The sequence below is a fragment of the Homo sapiens genome, chromosome 5 (assembly GCF_000001405.40).
Source record: "Homo sapiens chromosome 5, GRCh38.p14 Primary Assembly".
Taxonomy (NCBI): domain Eukaryota; kingdom Metazoa; phylum Chordata; class Mammalia; order Primates; family Hominidae; genus Homo; species Homo sapiens.
Window position 1 is genome coordinate 179,317,552 of NC_000005.10, and position 21,941 is coordinate 179,339,492.

General features: G+C 53.9%; 1 protein-coding gene across 2 annotated transcripts in view, besides 5 other annotated features; it reads right to left on the bottom strand.

Moving 5' to 3' along the window:
• ADAMTS2 (ADAM metallopeptidase with thrombospondin type 1 motif 2) overlaps positions 1-21,941 on the bottom strand; it is a 234,609-nt gene that overhangs the window by 206,699 nt on the left and 5,969 nt on the right. The window lies entirely within an intron of this gene.
• Positions 2,487-2,986: an enhancer, noted in NCBI's record as "H3K4me1 hESC enhancer chr5:178747039-178747538 (GRCh37/hg19 assembly coordinates)". NCBI's record gives its function as "activates a minimal SCP1, AML or CMV promoter by ChIP-STARR-seq in naive H9 embryonic stem cells {active_cell/tissue: H9 hESC(naive)}" and the evidence as "EXISTENCE:reporter gene assay evidence [ECO:0000049][PMID:30033119]".
• Positions 14,945-15,481: an enhancer, noted in NCBI's record as "H3K4me1 hESC enhancer chr5:178759497-178760033 (GRCh37/hg19 assembly coordinates)". NCBI's record gives its function as "activates a minimal SCP1, AML or CMV promoter by ChIP-STARR-seq in primed H9 embryonic stem cells {active_cell/tissue: H9 hESC(primed)}" and the evidence as "EXISTENCE:reporter gene assay evidence [ECO:0000049][PMID:30033119]".
• Positions 18,275-19,074: an enhancer, noted in NCBI's record as "H3K4me1 hESC enhancer chr5:178762827-178763626 (GRCh37/hg19 assembly coordinates)". NCBI's record gives its function as "activates a minimal SCP1, AML or CMV promoter by ChIP-STARR-seq in primed H9 embryonic stem cells {active_cell/tissue: H9 hESC(primed)}" and the evidence as "EXISTENCE:reporter gene assay evidence [ECO:0000049][PMID:30033119]".
• Positions 19,075-19,874: an enhancer, noted in NCBI's record as "H3K4me1 hESC enhancer chr5:178763627-178764426 (GRCh37/hg19 assembly coordinates)". NCBI's record gives its function as "activates a minimal SCP1, AML or CMV promoter by ChIP-STARR-seq in primed H9 embryonic stem cells {active_cell/tissue: H9 hESC(primed)}" and the evidence as "EXISTENCE:reporter gene assay evidence [ECO:0000049][PMID:30033119]".
• Positions 19,875-20,674: an enhancer, noted in NCBI's record as "H3K4me1 hESC enhancer chr5:178764427-178765226 (GRCh37/hg19 assembly coordinates)". NCBI's record gives its function as "activates a minimal SCP1, AML or CMV promoter by ChIP-STARR-seq in naive and primed H9 embryonic stem cells {active_cell/tissue: H9 hESC(naive and primed)}" and the evidence as "EXISTENCE:reporter gene assay evidence [ECO:0000049][PMID:30033119]".

The window sequence follows — 21,941 nt, forward strand, 5'->3', positions numbered from 1 at the left end:
GCACCTCTTCCTGCTGCCCAGACCATGGGTGGCCAGCAGCACTGCAGTGTTGGTGTAATCTATGTCCCCCGGATGGCCAGCGGGCACAGAGCATATGTGTGCTGAGGGACACATGCCCCACACAAACGCCCCCACATGTGCATCGCATACATCACCCACACACACACGTGTACATTTCAGCACGCGTCTAGGGGAGGTTAGCGTGCCAGCACCAGCTGAGACTCCCTGGCCAGACTCATCGCCAGCTGGGGAGAGTGGAGCAGACGTACAGGATGGAGGGTAGAGGTGGGGCTGGTCCACAGTGAGGGAGGGAGGCAGGTGTAGACTGGGCCAGGGAAAGGTTCTGGAAACCCAGACTGAAGGTTCCCTGGGGTCCCTGGGGCTCATCCAGGGCTGGGGTGGAGCCGGGACATGAGGAACGGGCAGTGATGAATCTGAAGCCCTGCTGGTCAGCAGAGCCTCCACCTGCACGTCCTCCCCAAAGGTCAGGCAGGCTTCACCCTGGCCACGTCTCTACCCTGGCCATTAGCAAAGAGGCCCCCCTTGGACCAGGAGGAACACAGCAGGCCAGCCCTCCTGCCCTTCCCATCCAAGGCTCCAGCCACTCTCATGGAGACTCTGAGCTGAGACACTCCCAGCAGAAAGGGTCATTTATCTCAGAGCTTAACTAGCCCCTTCCAATTAGTGAGGAATAAAATGGCAGCATTTACTCTGAAGAACTGCGATGCGAGAGTATTAATTAAATGCGCTGCCGCTGAGCCTCAGCACACAGGAGGCTGAGCCCTCATTAAAAAGGCATGAGACTAAAGCAAGACAGGGAGGAGAGGCGGGGCCAGCTAGACAGGGGATGGGGAGAGAAGGAGATGCCGGGCGGGGCGGGGACAGCCAGGGACGGCCACAGCTGCCCTGCCAGGAGGGACAGGGCCCACTGCAAAGTGGGACAGCTGCTTCTAGCCCTCTCACAAGAAGGCTGGTGGGGAAGAAGCCAAGCACACGCAGAGGGTGCTCCCGCACACCCCTCGCCTCCGTCTTTTTGGAATCTTGACAGTTAGAAGACGACAAGGGCCACTGTCCAGTGGCTGGCATTTGTCCCCATGAGACCACAGAGAGGCAGAGGACAGCTCCTTCTCAGACCAGGGCAGGTGGGGCAATGCCAAGGCCCCCTCGGCTCAGGATGGAGCTGAGCCTCCCCAGGATGACTCCCCTGGGGGAAACACTGATGTCGCTGTTTGAGCGTTGAGACGTTGGGGCCTGGCCTCTGAGAGGCGGGGCCCCGAAGGGTCTTCCAGGAAGGTCAGACCCCAGCCCAAAAGCAGCAGGCCTGGGCCACAAAGAGAGCTGGTCCCTGGGCCAGAAAGCCCTCTTCCACCATGCACTCTGGGCAAGGGGCGTGTGTGCCATTAGGAACACAGCTGCACGCTATTTCTCTCCTGTCTTCCTCCAGCTGAAGATTTCACACAGCCCTGTTATGACTGAGGGTTCCCAACAGCTATTCCCTCAACACACAGGCCCCCACACACATGCATGTGCACTCATGCACTCCCACATGCAGCATGCATGCACCCACATACAAATGTCCATACGCATCACATGCACCACGTGTGCACTCACACGCAGGCGTCACACAGGCACCATGCAGACGCATGCACACACACATCACTCATATGTGCATCTCCTGTGACACATGCATCACATACACATGTCCACACATGTGCACTACACACAAGTACACACATGCACCAGAAAAATGCCCCATGCATGTGCATGGCAGACATTACCCACACATACACATGTGCATCGGTCATACATGTGTATCATATGCAGGTATCATATGTACAGGCATGCAGTGCACACATGCATGCATCAAGCACATGCATTATACATGCACACGCCCACACATGTGCACACATGCATGACACTCATGCACTCACACATGCCTCACATTTGCACACATGCATCACTGACGTGCTCACACATCAGCCACACACATGCACTCACTCACACCCTCCTGCTGCTCCCAGCCTCACTGCCTGCTTGCTTACTTTCCCAGTTCCTGCCACTACCTGAGAAGGTGTTTATTTGGCCTTTTGCTTATTGTATGTCTCTACCACCTCATCCTACCCCTCCCAGCCCTCCCCATCCACACTCAACCAGTAGAATAGAAGCCTCTCCCCTCTGTTGAGGCAAAAAGCTGTGACCCTCTTTTCACCCAGAAACCACAGGAAGCATGCGTGCAGACTGGACTCAGCCTTCACCAGCCCCCGCAGTCATTACGCCTGGCTCCCCAGCACCCAAACCCAGGTCCCCACTGGTCAGCACGTTCACACCCAGCCTGCCACATCTCCGGCCTGGCCCACAGAATGCCTGGTCCCAGACTCCTAATGTAGGAAGACTGCCCTGCCTGATCTCAAGGCTTGCTTCTCTGCATTCAGGCCACTCCTGCTGCCCAGCCTGACGGCTCCTGGAGCAGCCGGTGATCAGTCAACCTCCCCAGCCTTCTGTTTGCCTTGCAGAGCCAGCCGACTCCCAGGAGAGCTGTAGAGGCTGGTCAGCAGCCTCACTGTCCCTGCCCTGCCTGGTGAGGGAAGGGAGGCCACGGAGGAAATTCCCTCCCGCTCCATGTCTGCCTCGTGTCCTTCTCTCTCCTGCTGTGCTCCTGGGCAGCAGCTCCCTCCTCCAGCCTTCCAGGTCTCCCAATCCTGGCCCCAGCCACTTCCTTGGGAACCCTAAGCCTGCCTGGAGTCCACCCTCCTCCATTTTTTTGGGTTTTTTTTGAGACGGAGTCTCGCTCTGTCACTCAGGCTGGAGTGCAGTGGCACGATCTTGACTCACTGCGAGCTCCACCTCCTGGGTTCACACCATTTTCCTGCCTCAGCCTCCTGAGTAGCTGAGACTACAGGTGTCCACCACTACGCCTGGCTAATTTTTTTTTTTTTTTTTGTATTTTTAGTAGAGACGAGGTTTCACCATTTTAGCCAGGATGGTCTCAATCTCCTGACCTTGTGATCCGTCCACCTCAGCCTCCCAAAGTGCTGGGATTACAGGCATGAGCCACTGTTCCTGGCCCACCCTTCTCCTTCTGATAGCACAGCCCCTGTGTCACTCAGGAACCAGCTCTCATCCCTGCGTCACCAGTGGGCAAGGAGGGCACATGACCCAGCCTAGGCCAGGTAGAATACGTTGTCATCTGACTACATGAACATAGCTCAGGGATGAGGACTTGCCACAAGGTATTCCATGAAGTTAAATCCAGGAACTATTGCTGGAATTGTTGGAAAGGAAAAGCTGTTTCCCCCGGGTTGTTGCCCTGTGAGGAGGTAATGCAGCAGCTGCCTGCATCCATTTTTCTGCCTCAGAGAAGAGCAGGCCTGAGAGTGAAATCGACACAGAGGAGAGCAAAGCCAAGGGTTGGGGATGTGGGAAAAAAAACAACTGAAAATTTATTTGGGCACCTGGATCCAGCCACACCTGAAGCTAGATAGTTCTAGATATTTTTCTTTTTGCAGATTAACCAATAAGTTTTTTTTTCTTTTTTCTGAAGCCACTTTTACTTGGATTTCCAACACTTGAGGAATAACACCTGACTAATACACTCTCTCTTCTATAGCTTCAAACTCTCCATCTCCCGGATCCTCATCCTCGGTCCCTGAGCAAACTCAAGCCACCTAAAATCCTCTGTGCTCGAGGCAGGGCCACACACACATCTACACAAGCGCACACGTAAACACTGCACTCACATCTAAGACTGCACACCCTCCGCAGCTGATGTCTGCCCCACCGCAGCATGTGTGCCATGCGCACCAGCTTCCCTCCACTCCCTTGCCTCTCACTGGCCCCTCACCTGGTCAGTCTAGCTTCCACCAACTCCCCAGCGACCCTGCAAAGCCCCCTCTTGGCTGCTGGGCCTGATGCCCCCTGCCATCCCAATTCCCTGAACCCCCTCCTCTTGAACCTCTCTCATCCTTTAGCAGGTGGGCAGCCCCGCTCCTAAGACTCCACTGCCTCCTCCACTTGTCTGCACATGGTGGGGGGCCAAGGAGCACTTCCTTCCCCTTCTGCCTCCCTCTTCCTTTGGTGCCCGCCCACCCACCCTAGGATGTGGAATCCACAGCCCTCCATACAGAGCGCTCCCAACCCGAATTCTACCCAGACCTTGCCCCTGCACCTAGGACCTGCATTTCCAGCTGCCAGACTCCTTCCAAGAGACAGCCCCAGTGACAAACCCTCTCTCCAAGCTACCCTTCCTCTCTACCACCCATCTGTGCAAGTCAAAAGCTGGGGAGTGCTTTTCCTCAGCCTCTCCCTCAGCCCCCAGGCCCACAGACCCAAGTGCCTGGAGATCCCGGCCTCTCCATGTTTCCTGAGTAGATTATGCTGCCTCTATTGAAAGATGTTCCGGCAGAACACTGGATGATCCAGAAATATTTCCATTATATGTGGCATGGGCAGAGGCAGATCACAAAGGGAAGGTACAATACGACCCTTTTGTCATTAAGTATGTTTACACATATGTGCATGGACGTGGGAGACACACAAAAATGTTGAAAGCTAATGGCACTGCAGGGATTTCCATTTTCTCCTTTTGGCTTATTTCTGCATTCTGTTTTATATGAAGGCACATACGACAGTTTTTAACTTAAAGACAGGACAAAAAGTTGCCAGCCATCGTGAGTCACCCCAGGACTGCCGGTGCTGGGAATGCCAAAATCTGATGGGACCCAGCGCAGGTGGGGAGAGGAGCAGAGGATGCACCCACGGCCCGTGCCTTCTTTGAATCAGTCCTCACGGGGCCATCTCAAGGTGGAGACTCTGAAAGTGCAGAGAAGTGAAATAACCCGCCCATGGTCACACAGGAGGGAGTGCAGGGTCCAGTTCTCCCTCCCCCACCCAGGTCCGCACTACAGGCTCTGATCCACGCCCTCCCTTGAGGACAAACCCTGAGCCACGCTGGGTCCTCCCGCAGGCCCTGAAATAGAGCTTCATTGCCACATCAGACACCGGGAGACGCGAGGAGGCCGTGAGCCAATTCCAGATGACTTGTCAAGGCTGCGCCAGCCACAGAGTCAGGGAAGCCTCTGGCTGCCTCTGTAATATAAGAACCAGGACTGAAGGCCCCTCTGGGAGGGCACTAGACGAGGGCCTCGGCAGCTCCGCAGGCAGGTGGGGCCCAGGCCAGGCGGGACAGAAACCCAAATGTGGCGATGCAAACTGGACAGAAAGAGGCCTCTCTGGGCTGCGGCTCCCTCACTCGGGGCCTGACGGTACCAGGGGGAGTTAATCTCTCACACACAAGCTGGCGCCAGACCCCTAACTGCAGGTGTCCCTAAGGAGAGGTGCCTGGCAAGTCCTCTCCTGGGAGTGGACGCTCTCCTCCTGAGCACGGTGTGGAAGCAGGGCCGTGCCCAGCATGGGTGCGTGAGGACTGGATCCTGCCTGCAGACAGGACTGGCGGGAGGCAGAACTTGAGCTGCCTAGGACTGAGGCCACTCCAGAGCCAAGACTGACAGTCTCCACAAAACCAAGGAGCCCTCACCTGTCTCATGGCTGGCAGGGGCTGCACAGGAAGTGACAGAGGCCTGGTGCCCTCGAGAGGCAGGCACCGAGCCAGCCAGTGTCAGGGAGCAGGTCTGCACATCTGATGGAAAATCCATCCGTGGTCCCCCTTCTGACAGGCCTTTGGCTGCCTTCCCTTCTAAATAGCTGCGAAGGGAAATGGCCTGGCAGAAGGAAAGACAATGGGGCCCCAGGGGCAGCAGTCCAGGAGGGCCTGGGCCCCCCACCCTCCAGCTGTAGGACTCCCAAGCTAAGGACAGAGAGAATACTTTGGGGAGGAGAAAGAAGCAGACACCAGGCTTCGTGGCAGGTGTCAGCATGGCTGAGGGCAGGCAGAACAGCCGCCAGCTTGATCTGGACACCTGGTCCTGCCACAGGCCACAGCACTTGCCAGGGGCCGTTGGGACCTGTCACTGCCCTGTGGGAGCTCCCTGGAGAGTTCTTAACCTGGGCTCCATAAACTGGGAAAAGAGAACACTTCAACTTCATCTTTACTAACTGGGAACTGAAAGCTGCCATTCCCTTCAACTCTGGAGAGAGGCAGCAACCCCAGACTTAACAGCACCTGCGCCCGTCAGGGCAGAAATCACAGGCTTCGGCAACTGTCAGCACCGCTGCTGCAGACCAGACCAAATGGTGTTTACACTCAGCACAACTTAAATTATAGAGGCTGTAAGATGCACTCCTAGGTCTTATTATTTAATGCATCAATTAAAAGCACACAAAAAAGTTTTACATGAATGTTCCTGGCAGCATTATTCACAAGAGCTAAAGGGTGGAAACAACCCAATCCATCAACCCATGAGTGGATTTAAAAAACTGTGGTACATCCATGCAATGGAATCATATCTTTCCATCCAAAGTAATGAAGCTCTGATGCATGCTGCAACCTAGATGAACCTTGAAAACATTATGCTGAGTGAAAGAAGCCAGACACAAAGGGCAAATATTGTGTGATTCATTTATACTAATGAAATGCCCAGAACAGGCAAATCTATACAGGCAGAAGGTAGGTCAGTGGTTGCCTAGGCCTGGGAGGACGGGGTAATTGGGGGTTACTAAAGGGTCTGGGGTTTCTTTTCAGAGTCTTGAACATGATCTAAAATTGTGGTGATGGTTGCACCATTCTGTGAACATACTAAAGCCATTCATTGAATTTTACGTTATAAGTTGGTAAAATACATAGTATGTGAATTATGTCTCAATAACATTATTATCAAAAATGTGTAAGGTATAATAATGATTAAAAATTTTAAAAGCATGTGTATGTTGATAGCTTTATTTTTCTCTTTTTTTTTTTTTTTGAGACAGAGTCTCACTCTATAGCCCCAACTGGAGTGCAGTGGTGCGATCTCAGCTCACTGCAACCTCCACCTCCAGGGTTCAAACAATTCTCGTGCCTCAGCCTCCTGAATAGTTGGAACTACAGATGCCCGCCACCACGCCCGGCTAGTTCCTTGTATTTTAGTAGAGGCAGGGTTTCACCATGTTGCCCAGGGTGGTCTCAAACTCCTGAGCTCAGGCCATCCTCCTGCCTTGGCCTCCCAAAGTGCTGGGATTATAGGCGTGAGGCACCATGCCTGGCCGATAGCTTTATTTCAATCAGATTTATTTCCTTTGTATTTTGTAGTGTACACTAAACACATTATTTTGATCAGGGGTCCATGGGCCTCACCAGGCTGGCAGGAGGGTTCACGACATGGAACAGCTGTGCTAACTACCAGGACAGAAGACAGGAAGGTTTGCTGGAAGAGGGGTGATGAGAAGTTGGCCAGGCCTATGGGGTTCCCAGCATTCAGGCAAAAGCCCAGAGGTCCTCAGGGACCCCCCCACTGTCTGCTCTGCTAATGCAAAGCCCATGAGGCCCAAGGAGTCTCAGCTTCTTCAGCCACCCGATCACACCCCGACACACACTAGGCCCTGGTTCCTTCAAGTCCTTAGGTCATTTTCAGATTCAACTTCAGCCAAGACAAATGGTCCCCTCCTGCACCTGCCACAGGCACTGTTTCCAACGTGGGCAGAGTTGACAGTTGATGGGTGTGTGTGATCTTTCGGAGCTCCTGTCCCAGGCCCACAGGATGAACGGGAAGGTGGACATGGTGGGTAGAGCAAGCAGGAAATGATGATGGTCAGGAGGGGCCTTGAATGCTGGTTCTGGGGGCCTGTGCTTTACCCTCAAAGTGGAGGAGCCATGGGGAGCATTTCGGGTGGGGCACGGAAGGGAGACCGCGTGCTTATCATGGGCAGCTGGAAGGGAGTGGGAGAAACGGGGGCAGGGAGAAGACAGGGCAGATGTCCTGGAGACAGAAGGCAATGGGGACCCATAGCTCCTCCTGACACATCAGCCTGGCTTTCCTCTGGGGCCCATCCTCTCCCCGACCCACTCCCAGAGGGTCAGAGGACAGACGCCAGCCCTGGAGCCACAGCAGTCCTGTGACGAGGCCTGGCCAGCCGAAGTCCTGCTCCGCTGTCCTGGCCATAGTGATTTGCCTGAAGCATGTGACCCAACCTGAGCCAGTGAGAACTCACCACTGGGCTCTCCCAGAAACCCTCGGGGAACCTGGGCCTCTCTCTGCCGGGCGGCTGGTGCACTGCCCAGGCAGGACCCACGGGGAGGGCGGCTGAGCTGAAACCGTGCGGGAGGCCTGGGCTGCCGCCCTGAGCCCCGCATTCCCCCTTTGGCCCCAGCCGCTTCTGCCCCGGTTTTCTGTCACTTGCAGTCACAGGAGTGTGGACCTGGGGATGGCCTGTGGGAGGGACAGGGGCACAGGCACCAGCTGCACAGGTGTGGATGGGAGGACAGGAGCGAGGCCAGCCGCCTCTGGGCCACACCCTCCGGATTCACTCCCAAAGGAGAACGGCCAGGCGGCCAAGTCCTCCCAGCTGAGGGGTGCGGAGGAAGGGATCAGAGCGCTCCCCCAACAAAGGCTGCCTCTCCGTCCTGCACATCCCCTCGCCACACTGACCTCCATTTCCCTTCTTGGGGCCTGCCCGCCACGAGACTCTTCTCCCATTCCAGACTGGAAATCTTTTCCGCATCTTGACTAATTGTTTTCAGGTGGGAAGGATTTGGTGGAGAAATGGCGTTTGTGTGTGCGTGTGTGTGTGTGTGTGTGTGTGTGTGTGTCCACCCCCAGCCGGGCAGCTGCCCCAGGAATGCTGTATTGGCGGGAAGAGCTAGAGGACCCTTGGCCTCAGCCATGTCCTGAGGGGCTCTCGGTGATGTCAGCGGCTCCTGGCCTCTTCCAGTAAACATCTGTTCTTATTCTGACCCAGGAATTCCATTTCAGAACAGTAACGGCCTCCACTGGCAACACATCCCAGGCCGGTGATGCCTGGGGCAGGGAGAGCATCCTACCCCGGCCTGTGCCCCGCCCCCGGCCCCGCCCCCCACTCCCATGCCCGCCCAAGCCCCGCCCACAGAGCTCTCAAAAGGGACAAAATCTGCACCTGGCTCCGTGTGTCCAAGCGCTTTCACACTGTGGTCCCTCCTAGCAGCGCCATCAGGAAAATATGATCTTGTAGTAACAGGCCCTTCGCTGCTCAGTGCTGGCCCTCGCTTCATTTAATCCTCATCATAACCCACCAGAGTAGTTACCGTCATCAGCTTTTACCTTTCACAGATGAGAAACAGGAGGCTCGCTCGCCCAGGGAGGGAGGGAGCAGAAAACCAAGCCCACGTGTTGGAGCGAGATCGCGTCTGACTCCAGCGCACGGGACCTTGCAGGGGCTGATGGCCAAAAACTGAAGTCATGGGAAGGAGAGGGAGAGGGAGAGGGAGAGAGAGGGGAGGAAGAAATGACCGTTCCAAAGCCCATGCAGCACTCATCTCAAAATAAGAGAAACTCTCAGGTGCCTACACAGGGAGTGAATGCGCGTGAAGCCCGCCAGGGTAATGATAGGGAGCAGCAGAGACTCCCAAGGCACCTGGAACTGTGGGACCCTTCTAGAGGGTTCCATCCTTGCTCAGCTCTAGCCCTCCAGCACATAGGCCCGGCAGATTTCCTGGTTCTCAAGAGAAACTGGAAATCTTGAGCTTTGTGAGAAATTTTCAAACACTGGAAAAGCCAAACAAAACTCATCTGTGGGTGGACATGGCCCGTGGCCCACCAGTGTGCAAACTCCGCCCTGCACAATGGGAACCCTGAAGTGCAGAAAATTATCTCATTGTGAAGGGTAAGGCAGGGACTCAAAACAGGGCTCCTCAGTCCACATTCATAGAGTCTCCAGGTTGTACCACCGAATCTACTCGCCAGCCTTCTCCTGAAAGTGTCTCACTGAACCACATCCCCCGTAGAAACTCAGGGCATCTTTCAAAGACCGCAGTTTTCCTGCCAGCCTGCAAACAACCCTGTGCATGCCCGGTGCACTGCTCCCCAACCACAGGGGACACCTAACAGACCACGAGGGACTGAGAGAGCCTCCTTGACTGAAAGGGAAGGTCAACCGCCGCCACTCATCCCCATAAAACCACAACATGGGCACATCCTGCGTTCGAAGCTCTACTTGATGCAAGAGAGCAGGGAAAGGAAAGCCGTGCCACCGTGGGGAAATGGGCCTGGGAGATCCATTCAGGCCAAGGTTTGTCCACTTTGGGTCTACCACCACCAGCATTCACAGAAGAAGCAGCACCTGGTTCTCAATTCCCTTAGAAGCGGGGCTAGATGCTCTGAAGGCATGGTTGTAGCTCCCACACAAAATTACTAAAGACATAAAACGAAAACATGTTGAAAAAGAAGAGACAATATTATGAACTGCAGAAAGTAACTGCACACGTAGAGAATCCTCACCCCCAAAAACATCCAAAAAAAGGAACCAAATAATAACAAGGAAGTTCATAAAAAGTCTAGATGCAAAATAAATAGAGAAACTCATATATCTGGGAACGCAAACATGGGAAACATCCAAGCGAGAGATTTAGGTTTGTTTTGTTTTGTTTTTTGAGACAGAGTCTCGCTCTGTCGCCCAGGCTGGAGTGCAGTGGTGCAAGCGATCTGAGCTCACTGCAGGCTCCGCCTCCCGGGTTCACGCCATTCTCCTGCCTCAGCCTCCCGAGTAGCTGGGACTACAGGCGCGCACCACCACGCCCGGCTAATTTTTTGTATTTTTAGTAGAGACGGGGTTTCACCGTGTTAGCCAGGATGGTCTCGATTTCCTGACCTCGTGATCCACCCGCCTCGGCCTCCCAAAGTGCTGGGATTGCAGGCGTGAGCCACCGCACCCGGCAAGAGATTTATTTCAGAAGGACTTTTTGTGATTATCTGTGGTTCATATTTGTGCCATTCTAGTAACAGAGAGACTGCTTTGCTAAGACATGGGAAGATGCAGGTCATTGGGAGCAAAGGATCTGAAGCAGGGGCTGTTGCCAGGAAGGGCGCGCCTTGAGGACAGCAATGCTGGGGCTTGGGCTTGCCAGGTCAACCATGGGTATCAAGTGGTTCGTGGCAGCTCTGCACATGCATGTATGATTTGCACTAATGTGTCATTTTTAACTCTGTTTTCTCCCTGGGAATAAAGATGTCTAAATTCTGAGAATATCATTAGTCTGAAAGAAGCAGGTCCCAGGTATTCTGAGTAAATAATCACCTACTGTATTATAAATTAAAAGTGTTCCCAGATAACAATCTGGTGTAAAATATAATGGAAAAGACCCTATTGACAATGGCAATAACATTCTAAGTCTCTTAGTAATAAACCTACTGGGCTATGTTTTTAAACATCTGAATCAATCTTCTTATTTCCGTGAGAAAATTAAACATCATGAAGATGTCGTTCATTTGTTCAGCAAAGATTTGCTGAGGGCCTTCTGCAAAGGGGACACTACTTTAGGCATTTTTTTAAAACCTCACGATGGTGATACTTGCCCTATCAGATGTCAGAACATATTGTCAACCAACAGCAATTAAAGACCCCTGGACTGGTGCAAAAGAAAAACAGAAAAGGCCAGGCACAGTGGCTCATGCCTGCAATCCCAGCACTTTGGGAGGCCAAGGAGGGCGGATCACGAGGTCAGGAGATGGAGACCATCCTGGCTAACACGGTGAAACCCCGTCTCTACTAAAAATACAAAAAATTAGCCGGGTGTGGTGGCGGGCGCCTGTAGTCCCAGCTACTCTTGAGGCTGAAGCAGGAGAATGGCGTGAACCCAGGAGGCAGAGCTTGCAGTGAGCCGAGATAGTGCCACTGCGCTCCAGCCTGGGCAACAGAGTGAGACTCCGTCTCAAAAAAAAAAAAAAAAACAAAACAAAACCCAGAAAGGCCAGAAATAAACCCCATATCCTCCATGAACTTCACAGATGATGGAATATACATTCCAAAGTCAAGAAGAAAGAGTGAATTAGCAAACGAATGGTGTTGAGACAACAGCATGGCAATTTAGAAAAAAATGAACACTTAAAACCAACACCTTATACAGTATAAGAAACACATTTCACTTGAATTAAAGGAGTTATATATTTAAAAATCAAGTCAGGAAAAAAGCAAAACATATAATGGAGTATTTCTTTGAAAGGCTGATACTTTTCTACAGGCTGAGTAACCAGAAGAAAGCAACTAGAGAGGCTGACAGAGCTGACCGAAGAAACAAAACACCAGCCCGGCAGAATAAAAAAGGAAGCTCTGCAAATATAAACCCACCCAAGCTAGCAGAGGGTTAATGACTAGCCCCAGGGAGAACCAATCAGCTTCAGAGGAGGAAAGTTGGGGGCCGTAACCACCAGCCATTAAAGAAACAAGTTTCAGGCCGGGCGTGGTGGCTCACGCCTGTAATCCCAGCACTTTGGGAGGCCGAGGCGGGTGGATCATGAGGTCAGGAGATCGAGACCATCCTGGCTAACAAGGTGAAACCCCGTCTCTACTAAAAATACAAAAAATTAGCCGGGCGCGGTGGCGGGCGCCTGTAGTCCCAGCTACTCGGGAGGCTGAGGCAGGAGAATGGCGTGAACCCGGGAAGCGGAGCTTGCAGTGAGCCGAGATTGCGCCACTGCAGTCCGCAGTCCGGCCTGGGCGACAGAGCGAGACTCCGTCTCAAAAAAAAAAAAAAAAAAAGGAAACAAGTTTCAACAATAACACGATTGCCTGACTCCCACCAAGGGTCCCAGGCCAGCCCAGCCCCAGCGGACTCCTGCAGGCCTTGGGGAGCCAGGTGGGCACCTGCAGGCAGGTTGGGGGAAGGCTGTGAGGACTCTGAGCCCCCAGAGTCTATCAGGACAGGCTGACACCAAGACAGAGACGGCCTACATCTACCCACCCCATACCATGCCCAGTCCTGGACCAGCCATCCCTGGCCCCAAAGGCCACAGCGTAGTCACCACAGCTGAGACTGCCCCAATCAGGGCCACCTGCAATGTCCAGCAGCCTCCCTGCAACTGCCCCGGCTTTGGTTTTTAATGTCCCTAGTCCCGAGAATGCAGAAGCTCTGCAAAGAGAAGAACGCAGCAACTCTGGCAACCTGACTGTGGAGGCAGACACCTGGCACACATTTCCCCTCCCCCAGTGCCCGTGATCTCCACCCAGCGCTGCGCACCCTCCAACCTCCACTCCATTCACTCCCAGACGGAGCAAAGGCTGGCCTCATTGGCCACCTTGCCCAGCACACCACCTGCACAACCTTCCCAGCAGCCCTGCTCATCGGGCCACCCTCCCCAGTGAGGACACAGCCCGTGACAGCCTGGGCACCCCAACAGGAAAGACAGCCCAAAGGCCAAGCCGCCCTATCTGAGGTGGAGGATGCTCTGGCAGGGCAGGGACTCAGCCTTGACCTTGTTTGCTAGAAAATGCACCAAGAACTCAGTAGCAGGCCAAGGAGAGGAGACATGAATTCCCCTTTTCAGCAATTCACCCTGCTTGTACAGGTGGGGAGTTATCTGTACCTCTGAGGAGGTACAGATTTCATCTGGTGCTCCAGCTGCAGTGAAAGGAGCTGGCTCTGGGCTCTGTGGGACCTGGGGTGGGTCATCCCCATCGCTGTGCCCTGATTTCCTCCCAGCACATTGGGATGGCTCGTTGTTGGTTCCCAGAATGTACCAGGAAGGTACAGGTGCAGAGTGCAGCTGACGACGAAGGGCCCCCAGCCAGGAAGGGTCCCCAGGAGTCCTGGCTGATGAAAGACTCTGGGAAAGAAAGGTGGGAACGGGGAGAGGACAGAAGGGGCAGGGAGGGGAGAGGACATAAAGGGAGAATGGAGAGAAAAGGGAAAAAGGGGAGATGAGGGAGAAGAGAAGGGAGGGGAGTGGGAAAAAGAGGAATGAGAAAAGAAGGGGGAAGAGAGAGGAGGGAAGGGGAGGAGAAGCTGGAGGGAGAGGAGGGGGAAGGGAGGGAGAGGAGGGGGAAGGGAGGGAGAGGAGGGGGAAGGGAGGGAGAGGAGGGGGAAGGGAGGGAGAGGAGGGGGAAGGGAGGGAGAGGAGGGGGAAGGGAGGGAGAGGAGGGGGAAGGGAGGGAGAGGAGGGGGAAGGGAGGGAGAGGAGGGGGAAGGGAGGGAGAGGAGGGGGAAGGGAGGGAGAGGAGGGGGAAGGGAGGGAGGGGCTCCCAGCACCAGGACCCAGCACAACCGTCCTATGACAGTTGTCTCTGCAGCTGCATTTAGGGCTGTTCTGGAAACTCAGGCCTTCTCCCTGTCGGCAGGGCTGAGCCCTGGTCTGGGACCTCCCCTTGTTCTATCAGAGCCCCCAGGCTGGGTGAGGTCCACTGGGATCTGTTTTCACTCACAATGCTTCTGACACCAAACATGTGGTTTCCCTCACACCAACCAGTTCTCCAACCTCCAGACGCTAGCTGGGTGCCCCACAGTTGAGTGCAATGCTCATGCCAACTACCTGGGGTCAGCTTAGCCCTCAGGTTAAGGCCTCAGTCCCACACAGCAGCCCCACTTGCGGTGGCAAGTTCCAGCTTTCCACCTGTGCCTCTGACCAGGCGGCTATAAATTGGGCGGGTCCCACAACTCCCTCCTCAGGTTCTGTAATTTGCTATTAGGTTGGTGCAAAAGTAACTGTGACCTTGGAATCAGACAGACATGTGTTCATTAATAGAACAGATCACAGAACTCAGGGAGGCATTTTACTTACTATTTCCAGTTGATTATTAAAGACACAACCCAGGAACAGCTGCATGGGAGGGATGGGCAGGGCAAGGTAACGGGAAGGGCTGCAGAGCCTCCACGCCCTCTCTGGGCACTCACCCTCCCAGAACCTCCACCTGTTCACCAACCCAAAGCTCTCCAAACCTTGTCATTTAGGGGTTTTCATGGAAGTTCCATGACTCCCATCCCCAGAGGTTGGGGAAGTGAGGCTGAATTCTCAACCCAACAATCCAGAAACTCTTATATCAGGAACAAGGGGACTCAGACCAAATCTGATAATAAAAGGTGTTTCTATCACCCTTAACACTCAGGAAATTACAAAGGTTTTAGGAGCTCTGAGGCAGGAACCAGAGATGAAGAACAAACATACATTTATAATTTCCCACTATCACAGGGTCTCAGACAGTACCTCAGTCTGTGACCCAACCTGCATTGCCCCAGAAGCCCAGACCTCAGCTCAGGGCCAGTGTGCTGGGATCAGTGGCCAGTGGCCAGCCATCGTGCAGAGAGGGGAGGGCAGAGGGGAGGGAGGGAGGGGATGGGAGAGGAAGGGAGGGAGGAGTGCAGAGAGGAAGGGAGGGGAAGGAAGGGAAGGAGAGGAGACCAGGAGCCTCCCAGGGCCTGGGCACCTGCCTGGGAGGGCACTGAGGAGCACCAAGGAGGATGCCTACCACTGCCCCCACCTTGCCCTGATCAGGTCTGCAGGATCAGTGCTCAACGCCCATGGAGCTCCAGGTGGCCGCCAAGTGTGGACAGCCCTGCAGCAAAGGCCAGCTACTGCCCTGGGAGCCCTCACCCCCTTATCCTGCCCGCTTGCCTGTGAGGACCCCTCCCTACTGTGTGGCCTTGGGGATAGCCATGCGACGGCGGCTGCCTTCCTTCTGCCGGGGCTCTGAATTTCCAGGTGAGAGACCCGAGAGCAGAGGGCCAGGAGCCGACACCGCTGTGGCAGCTTCCCGCATCCCAAGCCGGGCCATGCCCACTGGCCATCGCTTCCTTCCACCTCAAGCCCCCCATGGAATTCCCTTTGACTGAGGCCAGCCAGCCTCATCCCCCTCTGCTCCCTCACTGACACACACCTTGTGAGGCAGGTGGTGTCTTAACTGGGAAAATGGAGGGTCACAGGCCAGCAAGAGAAGAGCCAGGCCCCAAGTCTGGTCTGTGAGCCCCCACTCCCCACAGCCCTCGCTAGTGAGCACCCGTCATGCTGTACAAAAGACTCTCCTGTGTAGCTTTTGAAAAGTACAGACCCCAGGGCTCACGCAGGTCTGATAAAGCAGAATCTCTCAGGATGGGGCCTATGTACAGATGCTGTGCAAAGCTCCTCAAATCCCATGCCCATCAGTGGGCAGGCAGAGAGATCACACAATGGAAATGCTCTTCTGCAAGACAAGCCACAGATTTGGTTTTTTTCTGTTTTTTTTTTTTTTTTTTTTTTTAGACAGAGTCTCACTCTGCTGCTTGGCTGGAGTGCAGTGGCGCAATTTCAGCTCACTGCAAGCTCCGCCTCCTGGGTTCAAGAGATTCTCCTGCCTCAGCCTCCCAAGTAGCTGGGACTACAGGCGTGTGCCACCATGCCCAGCTAATTTTTGTATTTTTAATGGAGATGGGGTTTCACCATATTGGCCAGGCTGGTCTCAAACACCTGACCTCAAGTGATCTGCCCGCCTCAGCCTCCTCAAGTTACACAGGCGTGAGCCACTGTGCCCCGCCTACAGATTTCTTCTAAGGAGGGAAATGTCTTTGCTTGGAAAAACACCTTCTAGAAGCACATGGGATAACAGATAACAGTGGGACTGGAAGAGCAGGAGACTCTGCAGACAGTGCCACCACCTCAGAGCAGCGGGCAAAGTCCGCTGTTAAGACACAGGAGGAGAATGGAGGGATTGCTCCAGAGAAACTGGACAGAGGGAGGGAGACGCCACTGGGAGGGAAGAAAGAACCCACAGATGAAAGTGGAAATGCCCCCACACATGGCCCAAAGGGCTTTCCAAGAACAGGGTCCTGTTCTTCCAGAAGTCACCCGCGTGGCCGGGAGGTGCTGGCTCCCCCACCTTCTGCAGGAAGGCTGCCCCTCCCTACGAGGGCTTCCCATGGTGCGTAAATGGGGACTGGGTTTCATTCCTGGCCCAGCAAAGTGGACAGCTGAGGCCGAGGCTGAGAACACAAACACCCCGGAATCGCAACACCTCTGGCTTTTGGAGGTGAGAGAAGGGAGCGTTAAGAGTTAAGACACATTTTATCTTGATTTCAGCTCCTTTACTGATAAAAATGGGATCTTAGAAAACGAGAATTCAGAGGATATTGCCTTCACATGAAATCCATCTTAATCCACAGCAAGCGCTGTATTAAGCAGAGAAATACCGGGGGCGTTGCCGTTAAAGCCAGGCACAGATGAGGATGCGTGTAGCCACGGCTGTGACTTAACATCGCTCTGAAGGTTCCAGACGGTGCAGATTGGAGATGAGGATCCAAAATTATCAGTGTTTACAGAGTGCAACTGTATACCTAGAAAACCCAAGGGACTCCACAAAGATATATTAGAATTAATGAGTTCAATCAAGCTGCTTGATAAAAGATAGTTCTATAAAAATCAGTAGCCTTCCTGTGTACCAATAGATGGAAAGTATTCAATGAGCAATGGCAAAAAGAAAAAAAATCCTTGAAATAATCCTGATTTTTAAAAATGGATGACCTGTATAAAAATATGTATATATAATACTTCATGGTACAACATCAAAGCAGAATGAAATAAGCTGAAAAAATATACTATGTTCCTGATGAATACTGTAAATTATGTCAATTCCTCCTTTAATTAGTTTCTAAGTTTAATTTACTATCAATCAAATTCACGAGGGATTTTTCTACCCGACAAAACAATTCTAAAATTCATTTGAAAGAATAAACATATGTGACCAGCCAAGAAAATTTTGTAAGAGAATACCAGCAAAGGGGGACGTATCCAGCCAGATGTTCCAAAGCCACACAGTCCAACAGAAATAGAACTCGAGCTTTATATGTAGCCATGTTTTTAAAAAAAAAAGACACAGGTGAAATTAATTTCAGAAATATATTTTATTTAACCCAGTATGCCCAAAATATTACCATTTCAACCTGTAATCAATACTTTAAAATGATCTATTAAACATTCCACATTCTTTTTGGGGGGTACGAAGTCTCTGAAATCCAATGTATATTTTATACTCAGGGTACCTCTCAATTCAGACCAGACACATTTTAAGTCTTCAATAGCCTTGTGTGGCTTATAGCTACTGTATTGGACAGCAAAGCTTCAAAGTACTTAATACTTTGACTATTAGAGCCTTACAGTTCTAATAATAAACACAGCTTAATATTGGTACAAGAACAGAAAGATGGAAAAGTAGAATGTATCTGCGGTACTGCTTAACCTGAGGTTTCATTTGCAACTGACTGGCGATGGTGTACTATAACCCATAAAATAGACAGATGTAAATACATACCAATATGCTCACAGCTCTCAAGCCCCTTTTCATCATATGTCCAGAAGCTCTGTCCCAATCAGAATGGCCACTAGCAAGCCTTAGACAAGCCTTGCATGAAACGTGAAGACACCCTACTTTCCATGTGCTCCCAATCCCTGCTTTCAAACAGCCGCGTGGGAGGGATGGGCAGGGCAAGGTAACGGGAAGGGCTGCAGAGCCTCCACGCCCTCTCTGGGCACTCACCCTCCCAGCACCTCACCTGTTCACCAACCCAAAGCTCTCCAAACCTTGTCGTTTAGGGGTTTTCAAAGGAAAAATACCCGGGTGTAAAGATGACAGGCTTTAACACTTGGAAATACTTTTAATACATTGAAATTTCAGATTAGGGCTTTCAAAGGAAAAATACCCAGGTTTAAAGATGAATCCCGGACATTCTGCACAGAGCTGGTGAAGGCTGGTCCCCCCAACACGCATCTTTCCATTTCCCAACCCCTGAACTGAGGATGCAATCGGCGGGTCTCAGGCCCCGGCCCTGGCCCCCGCCTCCTGGGCCACGACACTTCCAACGCAGTCCCTCACTGTCAACACCCTGGACACTCAAAATGTCTTTGAAGAGTCACGCTGTGAGGTCAAAAAGTTAGGGTGCACGCAGAAAGGCGCATGTAGCTTTGCATCGGTGAGGCAAATACCTATCCCTGGAGGAAGGACCGCTACTTCGTAATTCACAAGAGGAAGACCCCCGGAGGCGGACGAAGCCAACCGAACTCAGTTCCCGGGAGCCGTGACAAGCGACGGCCAGGCAGCAGAAATGGCCCACCCATTAGGCTGCAGACAGCATCAGAGAAACCAAGCACTGTGGCAGTGGGGCCCGCGCCTCCAGGGAACCACAAGGCACAGAGTTGCAGTTTAAATGGGAGTGTCTCCTCTTTCTTGGTGGCGTATAAAGTAATGGTGTGTCCCGTAACCGATGGCACCTTAGAGCTAATGATATGCAGACACGGCCACCGCTTTCTCACCCCCGGGCCTGGGGTAGGCGCTTGCTGCACACCCACCCTTTCACTGCCACTGAAGTGCGTGCGGACAGAACCCATCTTTTGCTATTGGAGGAACTAAGGTTCTCAGGATCGTGGTGCTTGTCCACCCTGCCGGTCACGAGGAGCACAGCGGACCATGTGACCCGCAACAGCCTCCAGCCCACAATAGGCCCCTGCCTTCCCTGGGTTAACCCGTGAAATGCACAAGGCAGGGTGGGGATGGCGTAGAGCCTGCCTGGCTTCAGCAGCACCCAGGCCTTGGTCCTGGACACTAGGGTTCCCTGTGCCTCTGAGCGGAAGCTGTGCACCCCACTCTGCAGCCCTGGAGTCGTCGTGCAGTGTAATTGAAATTCATGGACAAGCCCGAGGAGCCAGCTCCGGGCTCGGTAATAACTTCTCCATATTAATGGCAGCACCGCAGACCCTGTGGACAGCTGATATTTAATATGAAACATACGCAGCAGAGTGTGCAGCTCCTACCTGGATCCTCCCATTCCGGGGTAACCACCAGTAGGGGATGGGGGTGTCTAACGTGGCGCCAAGATTGAGGGGGCTGGGGTCCTCCTCTCCCCTGAGTACCTCAACCCCACTTAAGGCCCCTCTTCTACAGAGTGCAGGAAACCCCTCCCGAGAAATACATAAACACATGCTGGCCCATGCTCACTCAAATGCACACCCTCCCATGCAGACACACTCATGTGCACACACGTGTACACACTCATTCAGACGTGCACAAACATATGCACCCCCACACGCACACTGCATGCACGTACTCCTACATGCAAGACATGCAGAGGCAACATGTACATGCACACACTCCCGCCATGCACAGGCCCAGGACACGCACACGTCCACATGCAGCCACCAGCCTGCTGTGCCGGCAGCAACACAGGGACCCCCAGGGCTGCCCAAGCCAGAGAGGCAGGTGGGGTAAAGAAGGACATGTCTGCCTGCCAGCACAGACCCAGGGTCCCAGGAGGGCTGCCATGCACACTTGCCTCTTTGGGTCTTCAGATACCACAGTGGGCAGGCCCAGACCATAGCTCAGGCAGCCACGAGGCAAAGCCAGCCTCGCTGCTGAGCGGATGTCCCTGGCTGATTCCCTTACTCACCCAGGTGTGGCCCCTGTGAGCCTCACAGCAGGCCTGGGTGAGGACCTGGCCTTCACCTCCCAGCTGACTCTGCACGAGGGCCTGAATTCACTCACTCACCCAGGTGTGGCCCCTATGAGCCTCACAGCAGGCCTGGGTGAGGACCTGGCCTTCACCTCCCAGCTGACTCTGCAGGAGGGCCTGCATTCACTCAGGCATGACTCGCTAAGCACTGGAGACATGGGGGACAGGGAAGCCACGGCGAGCCATTGGGCAGGAGAAGCCTGCCACACCTGAATGAGCACATGGCCGCGCACATTTACCAGTGCCAGAAACATACCCAGCCACACAATGGAGTGCAGCTCTCTCAGGGAGAGCTGGCCTTGCTGGGCTCCGGCTGAGACCAGTGCTGACTATGCCGGCCTTCATGAGGGGCTGGGAGCCGGCTCCACTCTGCCCCTCCCTAAAGGATTCCAGGAGAGACGCCAGCCCACACAGAGAACCTGCATATGTAACTCCTAGAGCCTCGGTTTCCTACCTGTGAAATGGGGCCACGGTGGCTGGCTCACAGGAAAACCGCAGGGACTGGGTTCAAAGCCCCAGGCAGAGGTAGATGGTGTGGATGCTGCTCCCCGGACCCCCTCCTGAGGCTGGCCGCCGCCTCCAGAGGGACTGCGCTGCACTGCTGGATCCCTCAGGCATCTCTGTAGGGGCCCTCAGCTCACGTAAGGCAGCAGGGGAGGGAGTCATTGCCCCACCCTCCCAGGGGCACCTGAGGGGAACGCTGGAGTTCTGCCTCCTGCAGCCCTTTCTCCCGGAGTCTCATTCCAGACCAGCAGAGCAGGCGACTCAGGCCGGAGCTGGAGGGCCCTGACCAGGTCACGGGGGCCTTGAATGCCAGGCCAGTGGGTTTGGATGTTTTTAAGAGCAGTAAGAACCACTGAGAGGTCTTAAGTGAAGGCGTGACATGAGTTGCTGCATGGTTTCTAAAAATCCCTCTGGCTGCAGAGTGGAGAAGGGTTGTCGGGGAGAGACCATGGGGCAGTGGGGGGTACAAGAGCAGAAAGCAGGGGTTGGCACCAGGCGTGGAGGGAAGCCGGGCCCTGAGAGAGCTCTAGAATTGGAGCTGGCTAGGGGAGGGCGATCCTGGAAGGGTGGGGTCTGGAGGAGAGTGGGGAGAGCCACGTGACTTGAGTATGGGGTCATCCAGGGAAGGGGGTTCCAGAGGCAGCCGAGCAGGCAAGCCTGGAGCCCAGGAGGACTTCTAAGCCCAACATGGGGTCTGGAGTCCAGGAGAAGGGTGGCCACAACCGTGTTCACCACCCTGCACAATTCTCCTCCCTTCTTGTATGATAGGCCCCTCTTCATTCCAGAGTTTGGGAGTCTGTCCCTCCCCCTCAGTCCCAAAGGTGGGCAGGAGACCTGGGCTAGGCCCGCATCACAGCCATGGGTTTGAAGATGGGCCTCCAATCCCTCCCCCAACTCTCACAGGTGTCACCCAGAGAGGAGGGCTTTCCATCTCAAAGGTTGCCTCCTTGGAAAACGAGTTGGGCCTGGAGCCGCTGGTGGGCCGGGGGTTGAGGGGTGGAGAGCAATTCTGAAATGAACACTGAGAGGCAGGGCTGAGAAATGGATAGCATGCTCTGAGCCCCTGGATTCAGCCAGGCCTGAAGCCAACACTCCTCAGGACCCCCAGATAATTGGGGCCATGCTGTCCCTTGTT